This window comes from Homo sapiens, chromosome X, assembly GCF_000001405.40.
Source record: "Homo sapiens chromosome X, GRCh38.p14 Primary Assembly".
Taxonomy (NCBI): Eukaryota; Metazoa; Chordata; class Mammalia; order Primates; family Hominidae; genus Homo; species Homo sapiens.
This window is the reverse complement of record NC_000023.11, coordinates 136,178,764-136,200,785: the sequence shown is the minus strand read 5'-3', so window position 1 is coordinate 136,200,785 and position 22,022 is coordinate 136,178,764. Positions and strand designations below refer to the sequence as shown.

At 39.6% G+C, this 22,022-nt stretch overlaps 1 protein-coding gene across 20 annotated transcripts in view; it reads right to left on the bottom strand.

Moving 5' to 3' along the window:
- The window catches only part of FHL1 (four and a half LIM domains 1), a 64,658-nt gene that overhangs the window by 10,574 nt on the left and 32,062 nt on the right, over nt 1–22,022 (bottom strand). For 3 of the 20 annotated variants that reach the window (NM_001440769.1, NM_001159699.2, NM_001330659.2), the window contains exon 1: nt 3,652–3,739. The exons of 16 other annotated variants lie outside the window; for them this stretch is intronic. In NM_001440769.1, coding sequence (NP_001427698.1) covers nt 3,652–3,673 — 22 coding nt within the window. In that variant the 5' untranslated portion in view covers nt 3,674–3,739. Of the gene's footprint in view, nt 1–3,651; nt 3,740–3,922; nt 3,998–22,022 lie in introns of those variants that run through there. One more of the 20 variants, NM_001159701.2, reaches the window with a different exon arrangement.

The following is a 22,022-nucleotide window of genomic DNA, read 5'->3' as shown; positions in this document are numbered from 1 at the left end:
GAGGTTGCTACAGACCCACAGATTCCCCGCTGCTAACATACTTTGGTGCCGAGTGACTTGGATACATTCCCTAGTGCTAACAAGTGGGGTTTCTCTATGACAGAAAGTTCTGCTCATACACTAGGGGGCCCCAGTACCTAATCCAGGGCTTTGTATACAGGAATCACTCAGTATATGCCTGTTGATTGACAGATGGAGATATGTTACCACAACTAAGTTTCTAAAACTTTGGTATGTGGATAGTCACTGAAAGTGGCTTCTGATCCAATTATCTGAGCCTCTATTTTGTCCATACCAACCCTATTTCAGGACCACACTGATTTCCTTTCTGTAAGGACTTCTTTCTTGGGCCTATTCTCCTCTGCTTTCATGGACTTATGAACCTAATGCAATATGACATACTATTTCCTGATTTTAAAAATCATCTTATATGACGTGTAAGGTGCTGAAGTCTAACCTACACCTTAGGTCCACATAAATGTCCCCTGATTTTCTAAGACAGAAAGCATCATTATTAAATAATTTAATTAAAAATTAACTAAATTAAAGTTTTACAAGCTTAGAATACAGTTAGAAATGTGGCTGGGTGATAAAATTTTAGACATTTATTCCAAAAGGGTAGCCTGACTTTCTATGCCTGCTTCAAAAGACACATCATTTTCACTTAATAAACAAGCTTCCTTTTTCAGAAAATTCTTGAACTACATCCAACATGCTGAGAGGTGCCTAAATAAACCTCAGTATCTTAATTAAAAGTTTTGGCTTTCAATTTAATCATGTACACATACAAGTAATATAACATTACAACATTTGTTTTTTTCTTTTTTCTTTTTTACTATAAACCTCTCATTACAGTCGATTTGTATTTAATAAATCTTGCTTGTGTTTTTACATGTATTTTCTCATGTATTTCTTCCTATTGTTCATCTTCTCCCTCATGCCTGAGTTGCTCAAACTATGAATATTTAAGGAGAATGTGAATATCATGAGTAGGTAGCATTTTTCTATGTGTTTTCCATGAAGGGTGTAATGTACAGTGTAAACAATGAACAACAACCCAAATGGAAAAAAATCAGGTTATTTCAGATCTGTTCTTCACTAAATCCAACCTACCAGTACATTAGTGACTCCACATATAAACACTGGCTTCTAAAGAAAGGGTATAATGCTTTCCTCAGAACATTCAACAGATGGAGCAAAGCCTTAGCCAATGAATAGGACACTTGTGTAATAGACATGCTAATGCACCTGGAGGTGTCGTCAGACATTTGGGAATAAATACCTAAGTAGCTGCAATGAGACGGAGCTCATGAGTCACGGCTGAAAAGTAGTCTTTCATACAATTTCATACAAAAATCAGAAAGTGTTTTTTCCCTTCAAAATAGAACGTGTACAGAATGATTCAATGTAATTAGCAACTTCACTGGTATGCTGCATTTAGAAAAAAAACAAATCTTTTTTGGGTCACTGATGTATAACTAATGCCATTTTAGATTATATCGGGTGTCAGGAGGGTTCGATATAGATTATTAAAAGAAAAATTATGTGCCACTGAACTTCCTGCAGTCCAGATTCAATTCTAGTACCATTTTGTCTGTATATGAAGATTTTTCATAATGTTGCACAGATTACGTGCAACACAGCCCCTCTTTCATATGGGAAAAAAAGCATTTCTGACCCGGCAGCAAAAGAGCATGTGTTTTTAGTTTCTCCAGCTGTGGTGAAGTAGTAGGTAGTCATTTGGTGGTCATCAAAAGCACAAAATGTTCAGTTTCACTCTCACTCAAATCTTCTGTATTTTAAGAAGCCAATCCAGTTGGATTACTTTCCTCTCATCCTACCCTCTCATTTTCCATCCCTGCCCTGAGAAAAGACTGGCGGGCTTGTGCGGCCCACTGAGCAGCAGCTGGTGAAGGGAATCGATGGCTGTGTAATATGGCAAGTGACCTGATCCCCCTCCACACCCCAAACCTGGTTTTCGACTTGAAAGGCCAAAGGCTAAAGAAATTGAATCTACATAATTTTGCAGACAGAAAGTCTTCAATGTCAAGAGTATACATTGTTTTTGTCCTTGAAATGTCCTCTCAGTATATGGATAGTCACTAAAAATGGATTTGGATCCAATTATCCTAGCTTCTATTTTGCCCATACTGAGCCCGTTTCAGGGCAACACTGATTTTCTATGAGGACTTCTCTGTCTCATGGACTGATTCTTCTCTGCTTTCATGAATCTATTAACCTAATGCAATACAAAATGCAATTTCCTGAATTCAAAAATCATCTAAAAGGTATAAATAATTGGTCCCATTTAGCCACAGTTATTAGAGCCTCCAGACTTACATACACAAGAACGACATAAGAATTTGGTGCAATTTAAAACCCAAGGTTGGGTATGCTATAAACTTTCTGTCACTATTTAAACTTTTAAACTTTCTGTCACTATTCTGTCACTTAATTAGTAAACAAAATGAGAGTTATTCTACCAGGTAACATGCATTTAAGGTTCATCAGGACAACTAGCACAGCTGACTAGTTTGCCTACACCCAGAGAATGTGTATCTTGGCTGATAACCACAATCTCAAGCATTTGGTACCATGTTTGTGAAACAGCTCCTGAGGGTTGGAAAAAAAAAAAAACCAGACAACTTTTGAACACTTGGGAACAGGGAAGACATTACATATTAATTCATTAAGGTAGGGCATTCCATTGCAGCATATTTAAAACCCCAAAAAGAGAAATTTCCTAAAGTATTTCCATTGTTTAAATATTGACAGGCAATGAGTTTTAAAAAATGATTTTTCAAAAAAAAAAAAAAACATAGATAATGACATCCCTTAATCTGAAAGCTGGGAGACAGGATGAAGTGCCTTCTTTATATCTAACCGTCTGACTTTACCAGCCCCAAGAAAGGGAACCGTTACTTAGGCAGAGGGCCACAGGGCCACAGCCACCCTCCTGGCTTCAAATAACTGGGCTTTTGGCCCCTCAGCCCCTAGTTCATAGATTTCTTGTCGATGGCCAAAGGGCTTCCTTAATTGTAAGGTTACAAAACCAGAAGAAAATGCTCATGTCCCAAGGAGTCCAAAATGTGCCCCTTTTTCTGCTAAAAACAATTAATAACATACTTAGCATATCAAAAGGAACATAGCTGTTACTTCGGGAAGATTTAAAACATTGTCAGCAAAAGGGAAGATGTGCTAGGTCATTATGGACTTTCTTAGTTACAAATGTTCCTCCTTTCAGCTCCACATTCGATTTACCTTCTCCAAACACCTTGGATGTAAAGCACTGTCAAGATGAAGAATTGTATCTTATAAAAAAGAAAGCCAAAAATTCCTAACCAGAAAAACCTTTCCTCCCACAATCTCTTATAGTTTCATGAGATGTCCTGAAAAAGGTAAAAATATAGTGGTAACATGTTTATATACTTCTTTTTAAAATAAATCACTCAAACTGTTCATTGTACTTGAACAATATTTTGTCTTTGAAATAGCATGAAAGGCAAAGGCAAAACAGAGACAAGCTATAATTTATTTACTATTCAGACAAGACTAAAATCATTTCATCAAAAACCATCTTTTAGCCCAATGACGGATTCACTGCCCTAACAAAACTGTGCTCAATATAAGATAAAGAGCATGAAGTTTTACCTGAGTGTCTATGGGAAGCCATGGCTCAGAGACCAAGTTCAGGAGCAGCACCTAGACCAGTCTTCCCTCAACCCCAGCTGATAAGGCTGTGGCTCATTTGTGAACATACATTTAAGGGGAAGCGGCTAACACAAAAATAACCGAGAGCAGATGTCCCACCCCTCCCCAGAGATCACAACCTTAATCCCACTAGAAAATTCTTAACCATTTTAGGTGATCCAAGGGAGAAGAATAGGACCCAGTAAAAATACCAAACGCTACATATAAATACCTGCGGGGCTACTCAGCATCCAAATTAGCTCCAGAGCCAGAGAGGCCACATAGAAAGTCATCCCTGTACCGGAATAAAATTTGGACTCGGCTCTGGCATAGCTTAACGCTGAGCCAACCTTATTAATCCACTTTATATGCCTCAAGAGCTTGCATTTGGCCCTGTAAATAATACATTTTTGTGCTGTTAATGATAAAAGTAACTCTAAGAGATAGACTTATGTTACCAGTGTAACTCAAGGAGATTAGACAGTATGAATATAGAGATTAAGGGGATTATAGATGTTGTCACTCTATGTCCTCCTTAGTATGTTCCAGAGATCAGCAGATTACTGTACAGGAAAGGAGAGTGATCGTAATCTCCCCACCTCCTTAACGGCAGACAGCACAGAACAAGATGGGGAGACTATGCCTATCCCCATCACACACACAATGAAGACATTTTGTCTCACAAACTCAACCTCTTGTTTTTCAGCATCAGGGACAATAAAAGGAAAAACATGAATGAAAATGAAGACATCAACCTAAAATGTTGTAATAGCTCAACAGGCCATCAGATGTCTGGGGGCTGGCTATTAGGAGCATGTTCTAGGAAAAGAAAGCCCCCAAGTCCCTCCAGGACCTTCTTCCACATTCCTTCTCTGGCCTTACCCTTAGCCCCCTTTCCCTCACTCCCACCTCACTGGCCTCCTCACTGTCCCCTGTGCCCAGAGTCATGGTTGTTCCTTTCCCTACTTCAAGTCTGCTGGTATTGCACTGATTTCTCTCCTTGCTGTCTGATCTCCTGCTTTGCTCCATGAAGGCAGGGATTTAGTACTGGAGCTCACTGCAGTGGCCCCAGAGCCTAGAACACTGCCCAGCTCCCAGGAGGCTCTCAATAACTATTCCTTGAAAGAATGAACTAAATAACTGAAAAATCCATCAAGCCTCCAAAACATAGTCCCACCTGCAATCCTGAAAGTGGTTTTGGCCACTCAACTTCAAGGAAGGCAGCTGACCTTCTCGCTGGTACAGACACCTTTATAGCCACTGTCTTGTTTAAGTGGTTTTGGCCCTATTCACACATCTCCCCTACCAGGTTGAGGGCCAGGGCAGTGCTTTGCTTGTCTTCATGTTCCTATAGCACACAGTAGGTGAGCAGTAAATGCTCCATGAATAAATGAATGAATGAGTTCCCCAATTCTTACGATCTTCAAATGTTTAAGGAAAAGTTATTCTAAAAGACAACTGACATCAGTAACTCCCAGTTAGCTAGAAAATGACACAATAAAAGCCAGGTTGTTACGAGTAAATTTATTACATGTTAGAGGAAAAAAATAAGCCTGGGAAAAGAAGAGAAGCTACACTGTGCTCTGGCTCCACGCCTTTCTAGTCTCTTTCTCATCCAGCCTGATTAAATTATGGTGCGGAGATTAGCCAGTTGTAACAACACCACACCCCTAAAATAAACTGAAACTTTTCACCTAGAGGAAATTCTCTTACTTTATTAGATGATTAACCTTAATGAACCCTGAATTTTTTATTTTAGCAAGTTATATTTTTAGGAAGAGCCCATGTATGTTGAAATGCCTCTCTTGCAGCGCTGTGAACAATAGGCTTGGTGTGCCAAATACTTTCCTTTAGGAAGTCAATTCCTGTTTCAAGCTATGCATCAGGAAGTGTCTTCTTTTAGGCAAGTATGGTAGTTCTTTAGGTTTCTGATCATTTTGAAAAGTGACAACAGAATATGGATAGACAGCTTTATGAAAGTATCAAAAAACAAATCTGTTTTGCCTAAAATACAAGAGAAAATTCAAAGACAAGAGAATCACTTTTTGACCACCATGAATTAGTCAACTATGACCAGCCAGGATGGACTGGGAGCTTGGGCCTGCAACAATAGCATTTATTCCAGTTACTTCCATTTGCATCAACCAGGTAACTGTGCCCTCCTAAAAACTTCATGAAGCATGACCACTACCTGCTCTGACATCTGGCCCTACTGCAGATGTCCTCAAGCCACAGAATTAGACCTTCCACAAAACCAAGACAGAAACAGCCCCTTGCATGATGAGAAACAATTTCTTAGGAAGAATAGTTGGTAACTTTGTCCTGTCTTGGATCAGTGGCTCAGAACCCTTGCTGGCTATTTCACAGGTACCTGGAGTCACGGGTTTCATTGGCATATTAGTCAATCTTGTTATATATTAACAGTATGATGTTTAATAATATCTTTAAGAATCACTGTACTGTTTACAACGCACCTTTATATACTATTGGTGGAGTTGGCTGGTGTTTGGGAGCAACTCTCTTTGGTGTATGATGGTTACATTTCAGGCCTTCTAGTCTCACACTCTAGCAGTATCCGGACGCTTTTTTCAGTGAGTGCTAGGTATCAAACTCCCTGTTTCCCTTCCATGTGACCCTCTGCGAATCATTTACTTCAGGGTTTATCTACACATCCTTATGGTCCTACTATCTGCAGATACATTATGACCTATTATTGGGTTAACCTGTAGATAATGCCGCCCCAGCCATTGCTTTATTGTATATGACAAGCATTTATTGGACAGATGCCCTACTATGTGGTGCAAGGTATTTTACTGGTCACAAAGAATAAAATACAGTCCTTACTTTCAAGTGTAACAAGATAAATATGCAAATGACTACTATGCAAGGCAGAGCCTTACAAGTATTACAAGAAAGGTATAAAGTGTTACTGACATTTATCACAGGGAGAGATCACATCTGGTTTGGAGATGAGAAAAGACTTGATGGATGTCACGGCATTTGACCTGGTCCCTGAAGAATGATTAAGACTTTGGCATGCAGACAAGGGGGAGGGAGTGTTCCAAGAAAATGGTACCATGTCACCTAAGGTATGAGAAAAACACAGGACGTGTTCAAGAAGCAGGATGCAGCTGGGGGGGGTTGGGGTGTGACAGAAGCACAAGATAAGGAAGTAGTAGGACCGAAAGCTAGAGAGGAGGGAAAGCCACACACGGAGGATCTTTCTGCAACTGGTGCAAGGGGAGAATGAGATGGAGTCATGCAAGCAGTGATAAGAAGAGCAGATCTCAGAGAAGAGAGGAGGCAGGGAAGACAGCACAGGGTAATGCAATTGTCCACTGAGATGCAAGGAAAGACTGAAAGAATGAGAGGCAGGGGCAATGGGCATGGAAAGGAAAAACTAGATATAAGGGACACTGTGACAGGGCTACAAGAACTGAAAGAAGGGGAAGGAGCCAAGGATCTCTCTGAGGTTGTGACTCTGGGTGACTGGGAAAATAATGGGGAATATGGGAGGCAGAGCTGGTGTAGGGAAGAATGGCACTTTATTTTAGACTTCACAATGAGTTTCTTCTGAGATGTCAATAATGAACCCCCTTTAATGGGATCCCAGTTATCAAGGAGCGAGAGAGAACAGTAAGATTACAGTAGAATCACGTTTGTGGGATTTCTCACACTGCAATCTAATCCTAGCCTCTCTACCTCAGAAACACCACTGGGAGGATCAAACTTCAAAAGTTCAAAGTGGTGCAACCGAAGAATCAAACACGGCAAATTCAGTGACCCACTTAGCCCACATTTCAGGACTTCCTCATTCACAGCTTGACTTGTGGTCACCCTTCTCCCTTTACTAGATTTTTCTTTTCCTGAAGAAATTTCCAAATGGTTAAAAACTTATTCAGACAATTACTGGCCATTAGTCATGGCCAGGGGCAAGAGGCTGATAACAAACTGTAATGGAGTCTTTGTGGATTTCTCCGTGGTTTCATGTCCAGTTGTTTTTTTTTTTTTTTACATGACTCTTCTTTCCCTCATATCTACTACTAATAAATTAATAGACTGCAAGTTTTTTTCTCAATATAATTTTGTCAGGCTACTTAATCCCTCTGCCAACAATTTCTCCTGAGTGAGTCCAACTGCAAGATTAAGGCAACTAGTCATGCACTATGATATGATGTGATTCAATGTTGAGCTCTCCAGAGTATTTCTTGTCCTATGTACTCTTGCCAGAAAAAAGCTCAGAACAGCTTCAGCCATCTCATGTTCCTGTCAATCTTTAAGGTGGGAAGAGTACTTTTTCCTACTGACACGTCCAATTTTGCAAAGTCACTGCTTAAATGTCACAATTCATGGCATACCCATCAGAGAGTAAAATGAAGGAGCACCCCTGGAACCCCAAGAGGGGGGATTTGGTCATGTAAGGTCCTAATGAAAACAAACCTGAAATTCAGCCTCCCCAAAGGGTCTCTGAATCTCAGAGAAAAGGAAAAGGTATGAAAGAAGACCTGTAACAAATGAGAAGATACATGAAATAAAGGACACTGTAAACAGCAAAGCACCTGGAAAATGCTAATTAACTCCACTGAAGACCTGTTCATTTCACAGTTGACCAGGGCTTAGAATTTTCCTTATAATATTCACAGAGAGATTACGAAGCATGAGCCATGGCCCCTGTCTTTTGATTTTTGGTAATGTCATGATCAGTAACAGTTTTAAATGTCTCTTGTCCCCAAAGTCTGTGCCCTTCCTGTGTTACTACTAGACTTTTACCAAGAGGTAGGAACTATCCTAACCACATCCTACAGATACTTTATGGGCCTATAACCAGAAATCACTATCAGGAAAACACCGAACAAATGACTTTCAGAGCATGCCTAGGATGATATTTTTCAAAAAACAGAAGTGGCAAAAAAGTAAAAGAAGTAAAGAAAACAGAAACAAGAAAATGTTTTAGAAAGAGATATATAACATAAATACAGAATCTAAAATCAAAGGAAAATAAATGTTTCAGGAAACTGAGAAGCTGGTAAGGATAAATCTTTGTCACATTTTAGATGTTAAAATTCTCTTCCAGTTTATTTCTACCACCTACTTGTGACATATCTGTTTTATTTCCATATTGCCATGTACCATGACTCAAAACACCCTTTCAACCATGCTAAGTCCTGGCATTCACCAAGCCCACCTTTTATGAACATTTTAAGCCTCTGATAAATGCTTGAGGGCTAAACATTCCATGACCCTATTCTATAATTTACCCAGCTGGTTAATATCCATAATAGGAAAGAAGAACAAATCAAATAAGCTTCCATCCATACCTTTATTCTTAATGCTGATAACTGAGATCAACTGCCTTGATCAGGGATGTTATAATAATTCATGAGCTCTGCTTCATTGTGTGAAACATCAAGGCTAGTAACATACGATCTATCTTTATTTACCAAAAAACTATAATTAATACATTACTTTATTATGCACTGGTGTTTTCAAACCCCAAATAGAAGATAGCCCTAGAATTCAAGGTAAAGGTTGAAAAGACTCATGAGTGGTTCTCTGGGGTTTGGTCAGTAGATCATCTGAACCTAACATGGTGCACGGAAGTGGAAGCATGAACACAGCAGGAGGAAAGAGATCAAGCCGTGACCTGGATGTCACTCAGGAAGTCTATATTTTGTTAGGCAATAGCATTGTCTATTTTGATAGCAGGGGAAATCCAGATTTCCAGAGGACTGAAAGTACATAAAGTGAAAGCTCACTTGGCTCCCATCTGCCAAGTTTCCCCGAAGGCCAACATTTGACTGCCTGAGCAGTGTCTTGATTCAGATTCAATGCAGGAGTAACCACAGGTGGACAGAGGAGCGCGGTGGCCCACAGTGATTCGTATCTGAGAGAGCAAATAGGAATAACTTTCTGTGGAAGGAGCTCTTCTGTTGTGCCAGGACAGGCACTGTTTTGTGAAAACTCAGCTGCAGAACCAGAGTGATCCTGTTGGTGTGTGGTCTGCCATTAGATTACCACCCTCAATGGCAGCTTGTCTTCCCTGTTCGTCAACCTGTGCATGGTAAGGACAGAGTATAGGCTCCTCCACAAGTTGGAGAGGATTGGCGGACCTGAAGATAAAGTGGGCCAGGTCTGAGGGTGTCTCCAGCTTCATAAAAATGGCATGATAGAGTTGGAAATGGTCTTAGATACCACCTAATCCAATCACCTCATTTTATAGATGGAAAAGCTGAGGCCCAGAGATGGAGAGATCACCTGCTTCCCTGAGTTAACAGCTGCTCCAGGTCTAGAAGCTGAGTGTCTGGACTCCGAAGGCACTATTCCTTGTACCGTATTAGCAAGGGATCTTTACTCATGACAATGTAAACCTTAGGAATGCTATGTATGGTAAAGGGGGTTTGTTATCCCTTGACTTTATATTCATCAACAGAGGTTAAGCTGGGTCACAGACCCTGAGACTAAGGGACAGTTGTGTGTGTAGATGACACATTTTGCAGATTCTCTCATGCAGCAGCAAGAGTCCAGTCAAGTTATCTCAGCCACAGTTAATGGTTAATGCTGGAGTCTCTTAGCCTACTCTGGTTCGAGAGGCCGCCTGATTCGCGAATCGTTCTTTGCTCAATTAAACCCTATTAAACTTAAAAAGAAAAACAAAGTTTATGGATAAACTTTGGCTAACTTGGAAGCAGTAGTTGACGCAGAGCTGAGAGAGATATGGACTAGGTTGGATGCGGAAGCAGAGGCTCTACCTAAACAGCTGACACTTAAGGAACAAGAGTGAGTGATTTCAAAGCCCTTGAAGTCAAACAACAAGTTCACCATGCCAGGCAGCAAGTACATGAAACAGAATGACAGGAACACGAAGTCCAGAAAGGAGAACGCAAGGAGAGTCTGCAGCTAGAGGAGCAGAAGCCATCAAAGGACATGTACGTGGAAAGATCACACCCCATTCACCTCACATCCCCACCCTTCTTGCTCATTTCCAATGATAATCAACAAGAACAAACATGGGAAGTAGGTACCTAACTGGTATAAATAAGACCAGATTATCTAAGGTACAGAGAGTGAAACAAGGAGTGATTGTCCTATTGCATTCAATGAAATTCAGGTAAAACGGTTTAGACTGGACCATAACTATTTTTGAAGGCTTCCATGAAAGAAATTTAAGGCTTAACTTTATATGAGATTGGTTGAACAATTAACATGGTTAGTTCCAAGACAAATAGTAGGAAATTTGCCCTGAGATTAGTATATCTATTTTATAATGATTCAAGAGAATATAGTGCAGTGGCTAAGAGCACAGACTGAAGCCAGAATATCTAAATTCGAATCCTGCCTCTATCACTTACTGGTTGTATGACATTGGCAAGTTTCACTTAACTTCTCTGTGACTAAATTTGCCCATCTGTAAAATGGGGATGATAATAGTACCTATGTAAAAGGGTCATTGTGAGAAATACAGCAGTAAATATTTGCAACATTTAGAGCAGTGGCTGGCACACAGTAAGCACTATATATTATTAATTCAACTACACGCTAAAAATGTGGCCGACCCAAGCAGCAGATTCCTACAAATAGAATTTATCAAGTTTACTAATTCACAGGGAATATGTGGAAAAGAGATAAGGGCTCAGGATGTTGGCCAAGAGCCCAGCTGCAAGGACCATGGGCCTGAGAATGACTGGGGCAGCAGAGAGCAAAACTCAAAGTCCTAGGGACTCAGAGGAATTGGCCTCAGCAGCTTGACAGCCCAGTGGAGACAGCTGTGGACTCAACATGGGTCAGGAGGGTTTATGAACAGATGATGGAGACCTGGGGAGAACAAATCTCTGCTCTATTGATCCTCTAATGAAATAAATACCCAATAGGTCTAGGTCACCTGTCCAGTCTTGAGCTGCAGAGGGTCTTCCCTACATCCTCCCTGCCAGGAAAGGGCCCAGTGGCTAATTAGACCTTTTCTGGCTAGAGTCAATAAACTTTCCAACACAACAAATAAGGGTTTACCTTATAAGCACTAATTCATCAGGCAGGCCACCCTTGATTCACATCTCTGAGCTTAAGTTGGCTATAAAGGCCAACAATGAAAAGAGGCTACCTATATGCAGCTCCAGCCAGAATGCAGATTAGCATCATATTATGTGAGTTAATTCTGAATAAATGCCAAGGACATGGATCTAAAAGACCCTATCTCATCAAGCCACTTACAGAAATGACTCTACAGCTCAGGAGATGAGGCTGTTTGTGCCGAGACATAGCTTGGGTGAGTACAGCAATGCCCAAGGTCCCAGGGGTGGCAGAACCAAAATATGCACCATCTACCCGACTCTTGACCAAAAACACGTTGTGGTCAATCCCCCATACCCACCCCAAGATGAACTCCGGCTAAAGCATCTAGAGTTGGGATGACTGTAAGAAGACTATTATCTGACCATTGTGTAGACAGACCATTGCCGTATGTCCATAATGACCCAGCACCTCACATCCCCACCCAAAAGAAACCCCGGACCTCTTAGCTGTCACTCTCCATGCATGAGCAGTTAGTGACTAGGATCAGAGAGGCTATATTTTCAGGTCCACAGATCTCATCCCAGAACCCCAAAGTTAATCTCCTCCTATCATAATAGGCTCCCTAAACCCTGTGCCTCAGCTCACTGCAGGAGAACACAAGGAAGGGAACAGGGGCATATCAGCCTAAGGAGGCAGGGACAGCTCTGGGATGAGCTGTGAGGAGAGAAAGGGCACACTGGTCCAAAAGATTCTCTGAGGCTCCGTACCTCCTCTCCTACTGGCACAGCCTGGGCAAGGCCTGCAGCTACAACATCTCAATTCCAGATAATCACACATTCTTTCTTTAGTTATTTTACCCAAAATTTTATCAATCAGGGCTTCATTTGGGTTAACAATCTTCACTTATAAAATGAAATAATTCCAGGTGAGTGTGAGTGAAGGTAGCTAAAGAACATGAAGTCCTTTGTCATTATAGAGATAATATGTAAAATATTTTAGAATAAAAACATTTCTTAGGTGAAAACTTTTGTTTTATATGTTCACAGTGATTCTTTAAGTTTCCATGTTCATGACTTCAAGTTGTTTTGCTATGTTATTTTATTTATTGAGATATAATTTACATGCCTGTGCTTTGGGAGGCCAAGGCAGAAGGATTGCTTGAAGCCAGGAGTTCAAGACTAGCCTGGGCAACATAGTGAGATCCCCATCTCTAAGTAAAATTTAAAATAATTTATATATCATAAAATTCACCTTTATAAAGTGTACAATTCAGCAGCTTTTAGTATATTCATAATGTATATCAATCATTACCACCATCTGATTCTGCATTTTCATCACCCCCAAAGAAATCCTGGACCTCTTAGCCATCACTCTGCATACCCCACCCCCACCCCGTGGGAACCACTAACCTACTTTCTGTCTTTATGGATGTGCCACTTCTGGCAATGGAATCATACAATATATGGCCTTCTGTGGCTGATTTCTTTCACTTAGCATAATGCTTTCATAAAAATGGAATCACACAATATGCAGCTTTTTGTGGCAGATTTCTTTCCCTTAGTATAATGTTTTCGAGGTTCATTCATGCTATAGCATGCATCAGTACTTCAGTTCTCTTTATGGCTGAATAATAGTCCATTGTACAGATACACCACATATTGTTCAACCATTCATCAGGTAATGGACATTTGGGTTATTTCCACTTTTTAGCCACTATAATACTGCTGTGAACATTCTTTTTTTTGCATGGGTTTATTTCCAAAGATGTATTTTTGAAGAAGTATGAAAGAATACATAGTGAAAAGTATTCTTCCCCCTATCTATCCCCAGACATCTACTTCCCCCTCTCCACTGATAACCAATGATACCAGTGTCTTCTTTATGCTTCTGGAGATACTGGGCTTATAAAAGATAGGCAGCTATATATTTTTTCTTTTTCCTCTTTTAAAAAAAAAAACATAAATAGTGGTATACTATACATACTCCTCTGCACCTTGCTTTTTCTATTAATTCTATTGCTAGTTCTATTTATTTATATTCAGAGAATTTTCCTTGTCAGTACGTAAAGAGCTTCTACTTTTTGAACATGTACATAGTATCCAATTGTAAAGCTATACCACAGTTAGTCTCTTATTGACAAATATTTGTTATCACAATGCTGTAAGAAATCTATCTATCTATCTATCTATCTATCTATCTATCTATCTATATATATATATATATTTTTTTTTTTTTGAGATGGAGTCTCGCTCTGTCGCCCAGGCTGGAGTGCAATGGTGCGATCTCGGCTCACTGCAACCTCTGCCTCCCGGGCTCAAGCGATTCTCCTGCCTCAGCCTCCTGAGTAGCTGGAACTAAAGGTGCGTGCCACCATGCCCAGCTAATTTTTGTACTTTTAGTAGAGAAAAGAGTTTCACCATGTTGGCCAGGCTGCTCTCGAACTCCTGACCCACCCACCTCGGTCTCCCAAAGTGCTGGGTAGTACAGATGTGAGCCACTGCACCCAGCCTTGAAATATATACATTTTTTAAAGATAGGATGAACCAACTAAAAACAGTAGTAAGTTAGTTTAATCAGACTGCTTTCTTCTAACCCCCAAAAGAGATCAGCAGCACTAAAGGAATGGGAGTTTTGATTTACAAGGAAAGGGAGGGAATAAAAGGAAAGAGATGAAAAGATCTGGAGTGGATGAGGGAGCACCCACCAAAGTTTACTGAAATGGCACATTGTTTTTGTTCATGCAGAGAGGATGCCATCTGGAAATCCCATGCCAGCTATATGAAGGTTACCCTCAGCTAATCAGCCACCCAGAGAGGAAGTGGCTTTTGATTCCAAATCCATGCTCTTTGCACCAAAACCCACGATGCCTTGCCAATGAACTAAAAAACAGTAAACTCAGCAAAACGCCGATACTGACAATGCACACAACATATCCTCATGCAGTGCCACACCATGATGGATTAGTGGCAATGGAGATTATACTTCTCAAAATTAAAGAGGCAACTTAGTGTGCATCAAGTCTTCAGGCTGAAAAGTTATAAACTACATATAGTATTTGAGTTTCAAATGTTCATGCTGTCTTCCTTATCTATTTAAAAAAAATGAAAGGTGGCTTCTCAGCTGGGGATTATAATGGAGCAAGCCGAGCTGGGCACAAGCCCTTCTGGACGATTAGACTGGCAACATGTCACTGATGCATACCACCAGGGAAGTGCACAGCTCTGAGTCATAGGTCTGACCTTAAAACTGCATTCTGGGAAAACAAAACACCATCCACGTTCGTTATATAAATCTGTCATGGATTTTTCAACTCTGTCTGCATCAGAGTTTTAAATTAACCCTGTCATTGTTTTTTCCTAAAAGTAGAGGAGTAGCTTGATGTCTCTAGCCTCAAAGGTCAGTCTTTTCTGAAACGGGCACTTGTTTTCTTAAAGGTCACATAACTAATTGAAGCCAGGTGACCCATGTTCTATGACTATTTGTCACCAATTTCCTAACTTAGATTGCACCTCCCTGTCTTTACAGATAAACAAGAAAGAGAAACGTCACCAGCACCCCCACTCCATTATCAGTGAATATTTTAAAAAACTAACTTCGGACTTCAGAAAAGGGGCTGATGTTTATAAAGCAGCTTAATAGATGAGACCGTTTTAAAATTAAGTACACTGGCAGCTATCTTTGTTAGATGTTAAAACAGGGATCCCCAGCCACGTCATGGCAATTCAGTGTGGCAAACCAGGAGTATTATAAGAACTGCAAGACCTAATTAATTTTAATTCCCTTCCAACTGTCTACTCATTTAATACCATAAGTAAATGCTAAAGCCTATATAAATTATCATACTGGAACAGGAAATGTACAGAGAAGAGATTAATTCAGGAATTGTGAAACAGGATACTGATTTTAAAACACTTTTAGCAAATTCAAAAATCAATTTAAAAATTAACGTCATAAAATTAAATTAACAATATTTTTATACTGTTAAATTTTATACTGTTAGAATTTTAAATTGATTTTAAGCTTTCAATTAATGAAAATAACAGTAAATGTTTTTGACTTTATTGTGTTGTAACCCAAGGAAAGCACACTAGACTTAGAATCAAAAATCTCAAATGCAATCTCTGACTCTGCTGAATTGCTTACAAGCCAAGTTATTTTTTCTTCCTCATCTATGAAATGGGAATATTAATATCTGTCTTGCTTTCCCTATTGAATTGTTTTAGGAATGAAATTAAATAATATATGTCCAAGTACTATACAAACTTTAACATAACATAATATGGTCATTAAAGAAATATATATATAAATCAGGCTTTGTACCCAAGTAGGTAATGTCTTTTGATTTTTCAAGTAGACTTAATTTTTCATATGACTCACACAATTTTCACAATAAACACACACACATTTATCATATACTACAAAATCTAGTGGCAGGTCTTTGTGAAAAGACTGGCAATCCCCATGATAGGAATTCCCTCTCTTTCATATCAGCCTAAACTTTCAATGATACAGAATTTAGAAAATACTAATATGGCTATTTTAGTTTTATTTAAAGTCTAGCTATTTAATCCTCTTGTATTTAGTTAATATTTAATTATTTGAAAAGGCACAAGTAGCTCAGTATAATAAATGTATAATAAGCAAGCTCCATAAAATCTTGCTTCTTCGTTTTGATCTAAAAATCAAAAGCATACTCCTCTGCATATTTGTACGGGGTATTTTTAGTTGCTTCAAGCAACTGACATGGTTTAGCCTCCATTCCTCACAAAGAAAATAACTTGGAAAGCCCTCAACAAAAGAAAAAATTAAGCCAAGGTTAGTTATAGGACTTTCATTTCGGAAAAATTAAAATAAGGAACACTTTTTATTTCTGTTGTTTAAAGGGCTGGAGATTTAGTAACAACTTGAAGAAGTGAGTTAATCCCTTTGTAACACAGCCAGGATAGGGTTTATTTTCCTACTGTTATGGTGGTAACTTAGAACACACAGGAAAACAATATCAAATATCAATTCCCTCCAGAGTTGTAACTTTCTAAATGTAGTAATCAGTAATTTGTCAAGATTATCATTCAGCATACAAATACTTTCTATATAATTTGAACTTCCATACCACCTTCTATATCAAGTCCTTAAATGCTACCAAATATAAACCAGGTATTGTTTTCATGAAATAAGAATACAGGTGTTAAAGATGAATAAACTGAGACATTAAAGAGATTAAGTGTCTTGCTTTAAGGGGGTGGGGGAGGCAAGGTCAAACTAAGAATAGAAGCTCAAGTACTATCACCTGTCCTAAGCATAAATCTAAAAAACTTTCCACTTTCCGACTAGCCATAAGTACATGGTCCCATCAATTTTTATGTATTTTAAACATACATTTTGCAGGAAGAAAATCTTCCAAACTGATTTGTGGAAATATCATTTAATTAAGGGTGGTACTGCATGTATGAACTGCAGAATATAAAGTATTCATACACGAAAACTTTTTTCAAATTAAATTTCATCTGATTTGAAAGCTTAATGTTAACATCTAAACGCTAATAAAATAATACATAAACTTGAGCTATAACGGAAACTAGATATAGTTTTAAACTTAACTATTCACTATATACAGTAAGTCAGTTTTATTATGGGTGATTATGAAACAATCACAGGACAAGTCAGTCACTTTCCAAGATCAAAGAGCAAGTCAGTGGTAGAGAAATCAAAAACATTGCAACCTAATGGTTTCTTCCAAGACCAAAGTGCATGTTATTCCATTGTGCCAAGGAGTTTTAATGAGTTTTAAAGGGTCATGTGTCTGTCTGAAGGGACTGGTAAATTTCTTACAACTCTCCAAATATAATTTATTTTTAATTCACGCTCTATACTGACATGACACGTTTAAATATATCTAATCACCAGGTTTCCCACCCACATCCCCCAACTAATCTCTGCCCAAAATATATTTTCTGTTTTTTTTTTGTTTGTTTGTTTTTTGTTTTTTTTTTTTTTGAGACAGTCTCGCTCTGTCGCCCAGGCTGGAGTGCAGTGGCGCAATCTTGGCTCACTGCAACCTCTGCCTCCCGAGTTCAAGCGATTCTCCTGCCTCAGCCTCCCAAGTAGCTGGGATTACAGGCGCCCACCATCACGTTCAGCTAATTTTTGTATTTTTAGTAGAGACAGGGTTTCGCCATGTTGGCTAGGCTGCTCTCGAACTTCTGACCTCAGGTGATCCACCCACCTCAGCCTCCCAAAGTGCAGGTATTACAGGCGTTAGCCACTGCGCCCAGCCTCTTTGTTCTTATACATTAAATTTTCATGGACCGTCTGGAGATTGAGAACACAGCAGAAATTTGTTTCTTCCCAAGCAACAGCAGCTGGAACTGAAGTGGAAAGTACAGGATTAGCCCCTATAGGGAAGTGAGAAAAACTGCTTGGAAATGGTTTTAAGGGATCTCCTGCCAGCTAACTCAAGAGTGCTAGTGAAGACTTCCAGAAGGAAACACACCCAGCCAAACCCCTGGGCCAAGAGAGTGTGTTTGCACACAATTCTGGGGACTGAGAATAAAGGGAACAACACAGCTTTGAAAGAATGTAGGGCGTGCTTTCCACATAAATAGGAGCAAAAGCCATACACGAGAACCTTTCATCTCCATACCATTCTCTCTGTCCAAATTGTAACAAGAGTGTTTTCTTTAAAAAATAATAATAATAATTTGCACTTAACACCTTGACACCAGGGTTTGGACTCAGACCCTGCATAGATCAACTTAGTCCTCAGTTAACTGTTCCTCTGCCTTCCAAATGCAATTGATTCTGTGGGCGTAACCAACATTCTATGTCTATAACACTTTTCAAGATGATCTTGCCTCTCTATAAGAACGGGAAGTTACTTAACTCCTGCCTGGGATGAAAATAAAATTTACAAGTGTATCCCCTCTTTTTTAGGGGTCAGCAATGTCAGAGTTACAAAAAAGTTCCAATTTAAAAATTAGTATATTTTTTTCCAACTCCATGCCAGGATTCCAGAATACCTGTTACTTTTAAAATAAGGCTCCTAAATTTTTTCCAAAACTGGGGCATTTATTTTATACCTTCTTTAACAGCATTCTATAGCAATTTAGTCACATTTGTGTACTGTTCAAAAAGCTAGACTTCAAGTGTATAAAATATTATGAAGTTAACTGGTGAAATCTGCTACATTCACTTTGAAATGCATCCAAAAATAAGATAGACTGATGGATGGAGGGATGGATAGATAGTAATAAAACAGGTAGAATAAAATGCTATTAATGGCAGCCTGTTGATGATGGGGATAAAGATGGCCACTGCAAAGTCATTTCAACTTTGAAGATCTTAATAAAGGTTAGGGGAAAATAAAATATACATCAGCAAAACCTTTAAAAACTGACTGCAGCTACACACAAGCAGGTATTGGCTTCCAAAATGTTTTTCAAACTATGGGCACAGAATGTGGTACAGTCTGGAATGAAAAACACCAAAGTTGAGTACCACAGCCTCCAAATGAAAGAAATCTGCCAAGCCCATTTTAAGGTTTTTCTAGGCATTATTAAAGAAGCCCTGAACATCACATCTCATCATGAAGTGCAATATTGCACACATACATTTTCAGACCAGGTTGAGCAGTTTGGGCCAGAAGAGAGACCTTTTTGAAGGTTCCCTAATCCATTCACACAGGCCCATCTGAAGGATGACAGTGTAGCCAGCCTCCGGCATCCTAACCATCTCTCTCCTTTTATGGTCGTTTCAAGTTTAAAGCAGATACTCGTCTGTTTGCAGATTCCTAAAGGTACTAGAAAAAAAAATCTAAATATAACAGATGGATAAGTGCTCATGGTAACTGGAAACCAAAACGTAACTTCAGCTTTTGCAGGCCAATGCCTTAACACCCATGGCTTTAGTGTAATGGTCCTGCTGTGGACCTTTTGTCTTTATTCCCACATAGAAATACTACCCCGACTTTGATGGATGACAGATAAGTGTTAGTCAAAACTTTATTTTAGGTTGACATTAATAACCTTTACTTATGTTAAAGTCAATCAGGGCCGGGCGCGGTGGCTCACGCCTGTAATCCCAGCACTTTGGGGGACCAAGGCGGGTGGGGTCACCTCAAGTCAGGAGTTCACGACCAGCCTGGCCAACATGGCAAAACCCCGTCTCTACTAAAAATACAAAAATTAGCCAGGCGTAGTGGTAAGCGCCTGTAATTCCAGCTACTCAGGAAGCTGAGGCAGGAGAATCGCTTCAACCTGGGAGACAGAGGTTGCAGTGAGCCGAGATCACGCCTTTGCACTCCAGCCTGGGCGAGAGAGTGAGACTCTGTCTCAAAAAAATAATAAATAAAATAAAATAAAATAAAGTCAATCAGTATGTGTTCTCCAGGATGATAAAATTTTCTATAAAACACAGTCAAGTGTTTTTGTTGGGTTTTCTTATTAGTGTTTTTAAAAATAGTTCAATATACTTGCGAAAGTATAATTCAAATGTTGGTAAAACCTCTGAGACATGTCTATAAATTCTAGGGTTCCATGGAATACAATATGAAAACCACTAGACTGGAAGGACTATTTGCACTCTTAGTGTTTATTCAATCCATGACCTTTAGGTCATATGAACAGCCACCAAACCCTCTCTAGACTTCATATATGAAAGTGGTATCATGCTGATAACTTCCTGATCTGAATCTCTTCCCCACTCCTTATACCCAACTCTATCCTCCCTTTATAGTAGCTAACTCTAACCTTTTGCCCTACTATTCTCAACCCCAATTCTTTGATTTCATTCATATCCACAAGCCCCTCAACTGCATTTCCTAGGCTGGCTTTCCAAATTTCAACAATACAAATAATGTGACCATATAACGAAGCGGGGAAGGGACAGCGATATGTATGTGTCCGTATACTTGCTGGTAGTTACAAACAAAGAGAAACTCCCAGGGTCTGAAAACTGAGCATATTGCACATTTGAGTTACTACGTCTTCTTAGCCACCACCAAAATAAATGTCAGGATCTCAACAAATTTGAAAGCAGCTCTAAGAAAGTCAAAATTGAAACCACATAATGATAAAGCTGAAGTGTTTAGGGGTAAAGCGTACAGATGCCTTCAGCGTACTCTGAAATGCATCCAAAAATTAAGATGGGTAAATGGTGGATATTTGATAAAGCAAATATAGTAAAATGTTTAATTGCTGACTCTAGGTGGTAGGAATAGGAGCGTTCACTGTATAATTTCAACTTTTCTGTTCGAAAAACTTGCTGATAACAGGCCGGGAAGAAATAATGTCATGCTACAGTGAAGGAAAAGGGATTGTTCTATTCAAGCATATCCTCCAACAATTCAGGAATATGGATATTAGAGGAACAGGGATCCTAAGACAGTCCTGTGTAATACCACGGTAATGCTATGGTTTGTAATTTACATAATGCCTTTCATTCAATTAATTGTATCTCTAGCAAATGCCTACTAAGTCTCTGGCACTAAATAATAAATGATACAAAGGACATAAGAGGAAACATCAGGCTTCTTGCTCCTCAGAAGCTTCCAGTTTCCTGGAGAAAGCAGAGTACAATTTAAGACAGTAACTCTGACCAAATCCTTTACTCTTTGTGCCTTAGATTGCCCCAGTAAGGAAAATGGAAAACACCCACGAGAGGACCAAAAGTCAGGTCAAGATCCTATGTGAAGTCTATGAGAACTGACAGTTCAAACGGCAGAGCTGGGAACATAAGGGATAGGCTAAAAATACTGGAGCATGTTGTACTGTTTTCCAGTTCAAACCTGTCCCATGAGCCCAATGCAAAGGGTGGAACTCACCCTCTCCAATTAGTTTCCATTTGAACCACTGTAGGGAGCAAAAGACCCTCTGGATTATAAATCCCTATGCCTGTGCACGCTGACAATTATGTACACAAACTCTCACCACCACCCATAGGAAAAACTCTACCGGTCCTGGGAAAGAAACACAGAGAGTACCTTATGGAAATTATGAATTTGTAGCCCTAATGAATGTGTACAGAAATGGTCCTATCGGCTGGGCACAGTGGCTCATGCTTGTAATCCCAGCACTTTGGGAGTCCAAGGCGGGTGGATCACTTGAAGTCAGGAGTTCGAGGCCAGCCTAGCCAACATGGTGAAACCCCGTCTCTACTAAAAATACCAAAAAATTATCCAGGCCTGGTGGCACACGCCTATAGTCCCAGCTAATCGGGAGGCTGAGGCACAAGAACCATTTGAACCCAGGAGCAAGAGGTTGCAGTGAGGCAAGATCACGTCATTGCACACCAGCCTGGGCAACAGAGTGAGACTATGTCTCAAAAAAAAA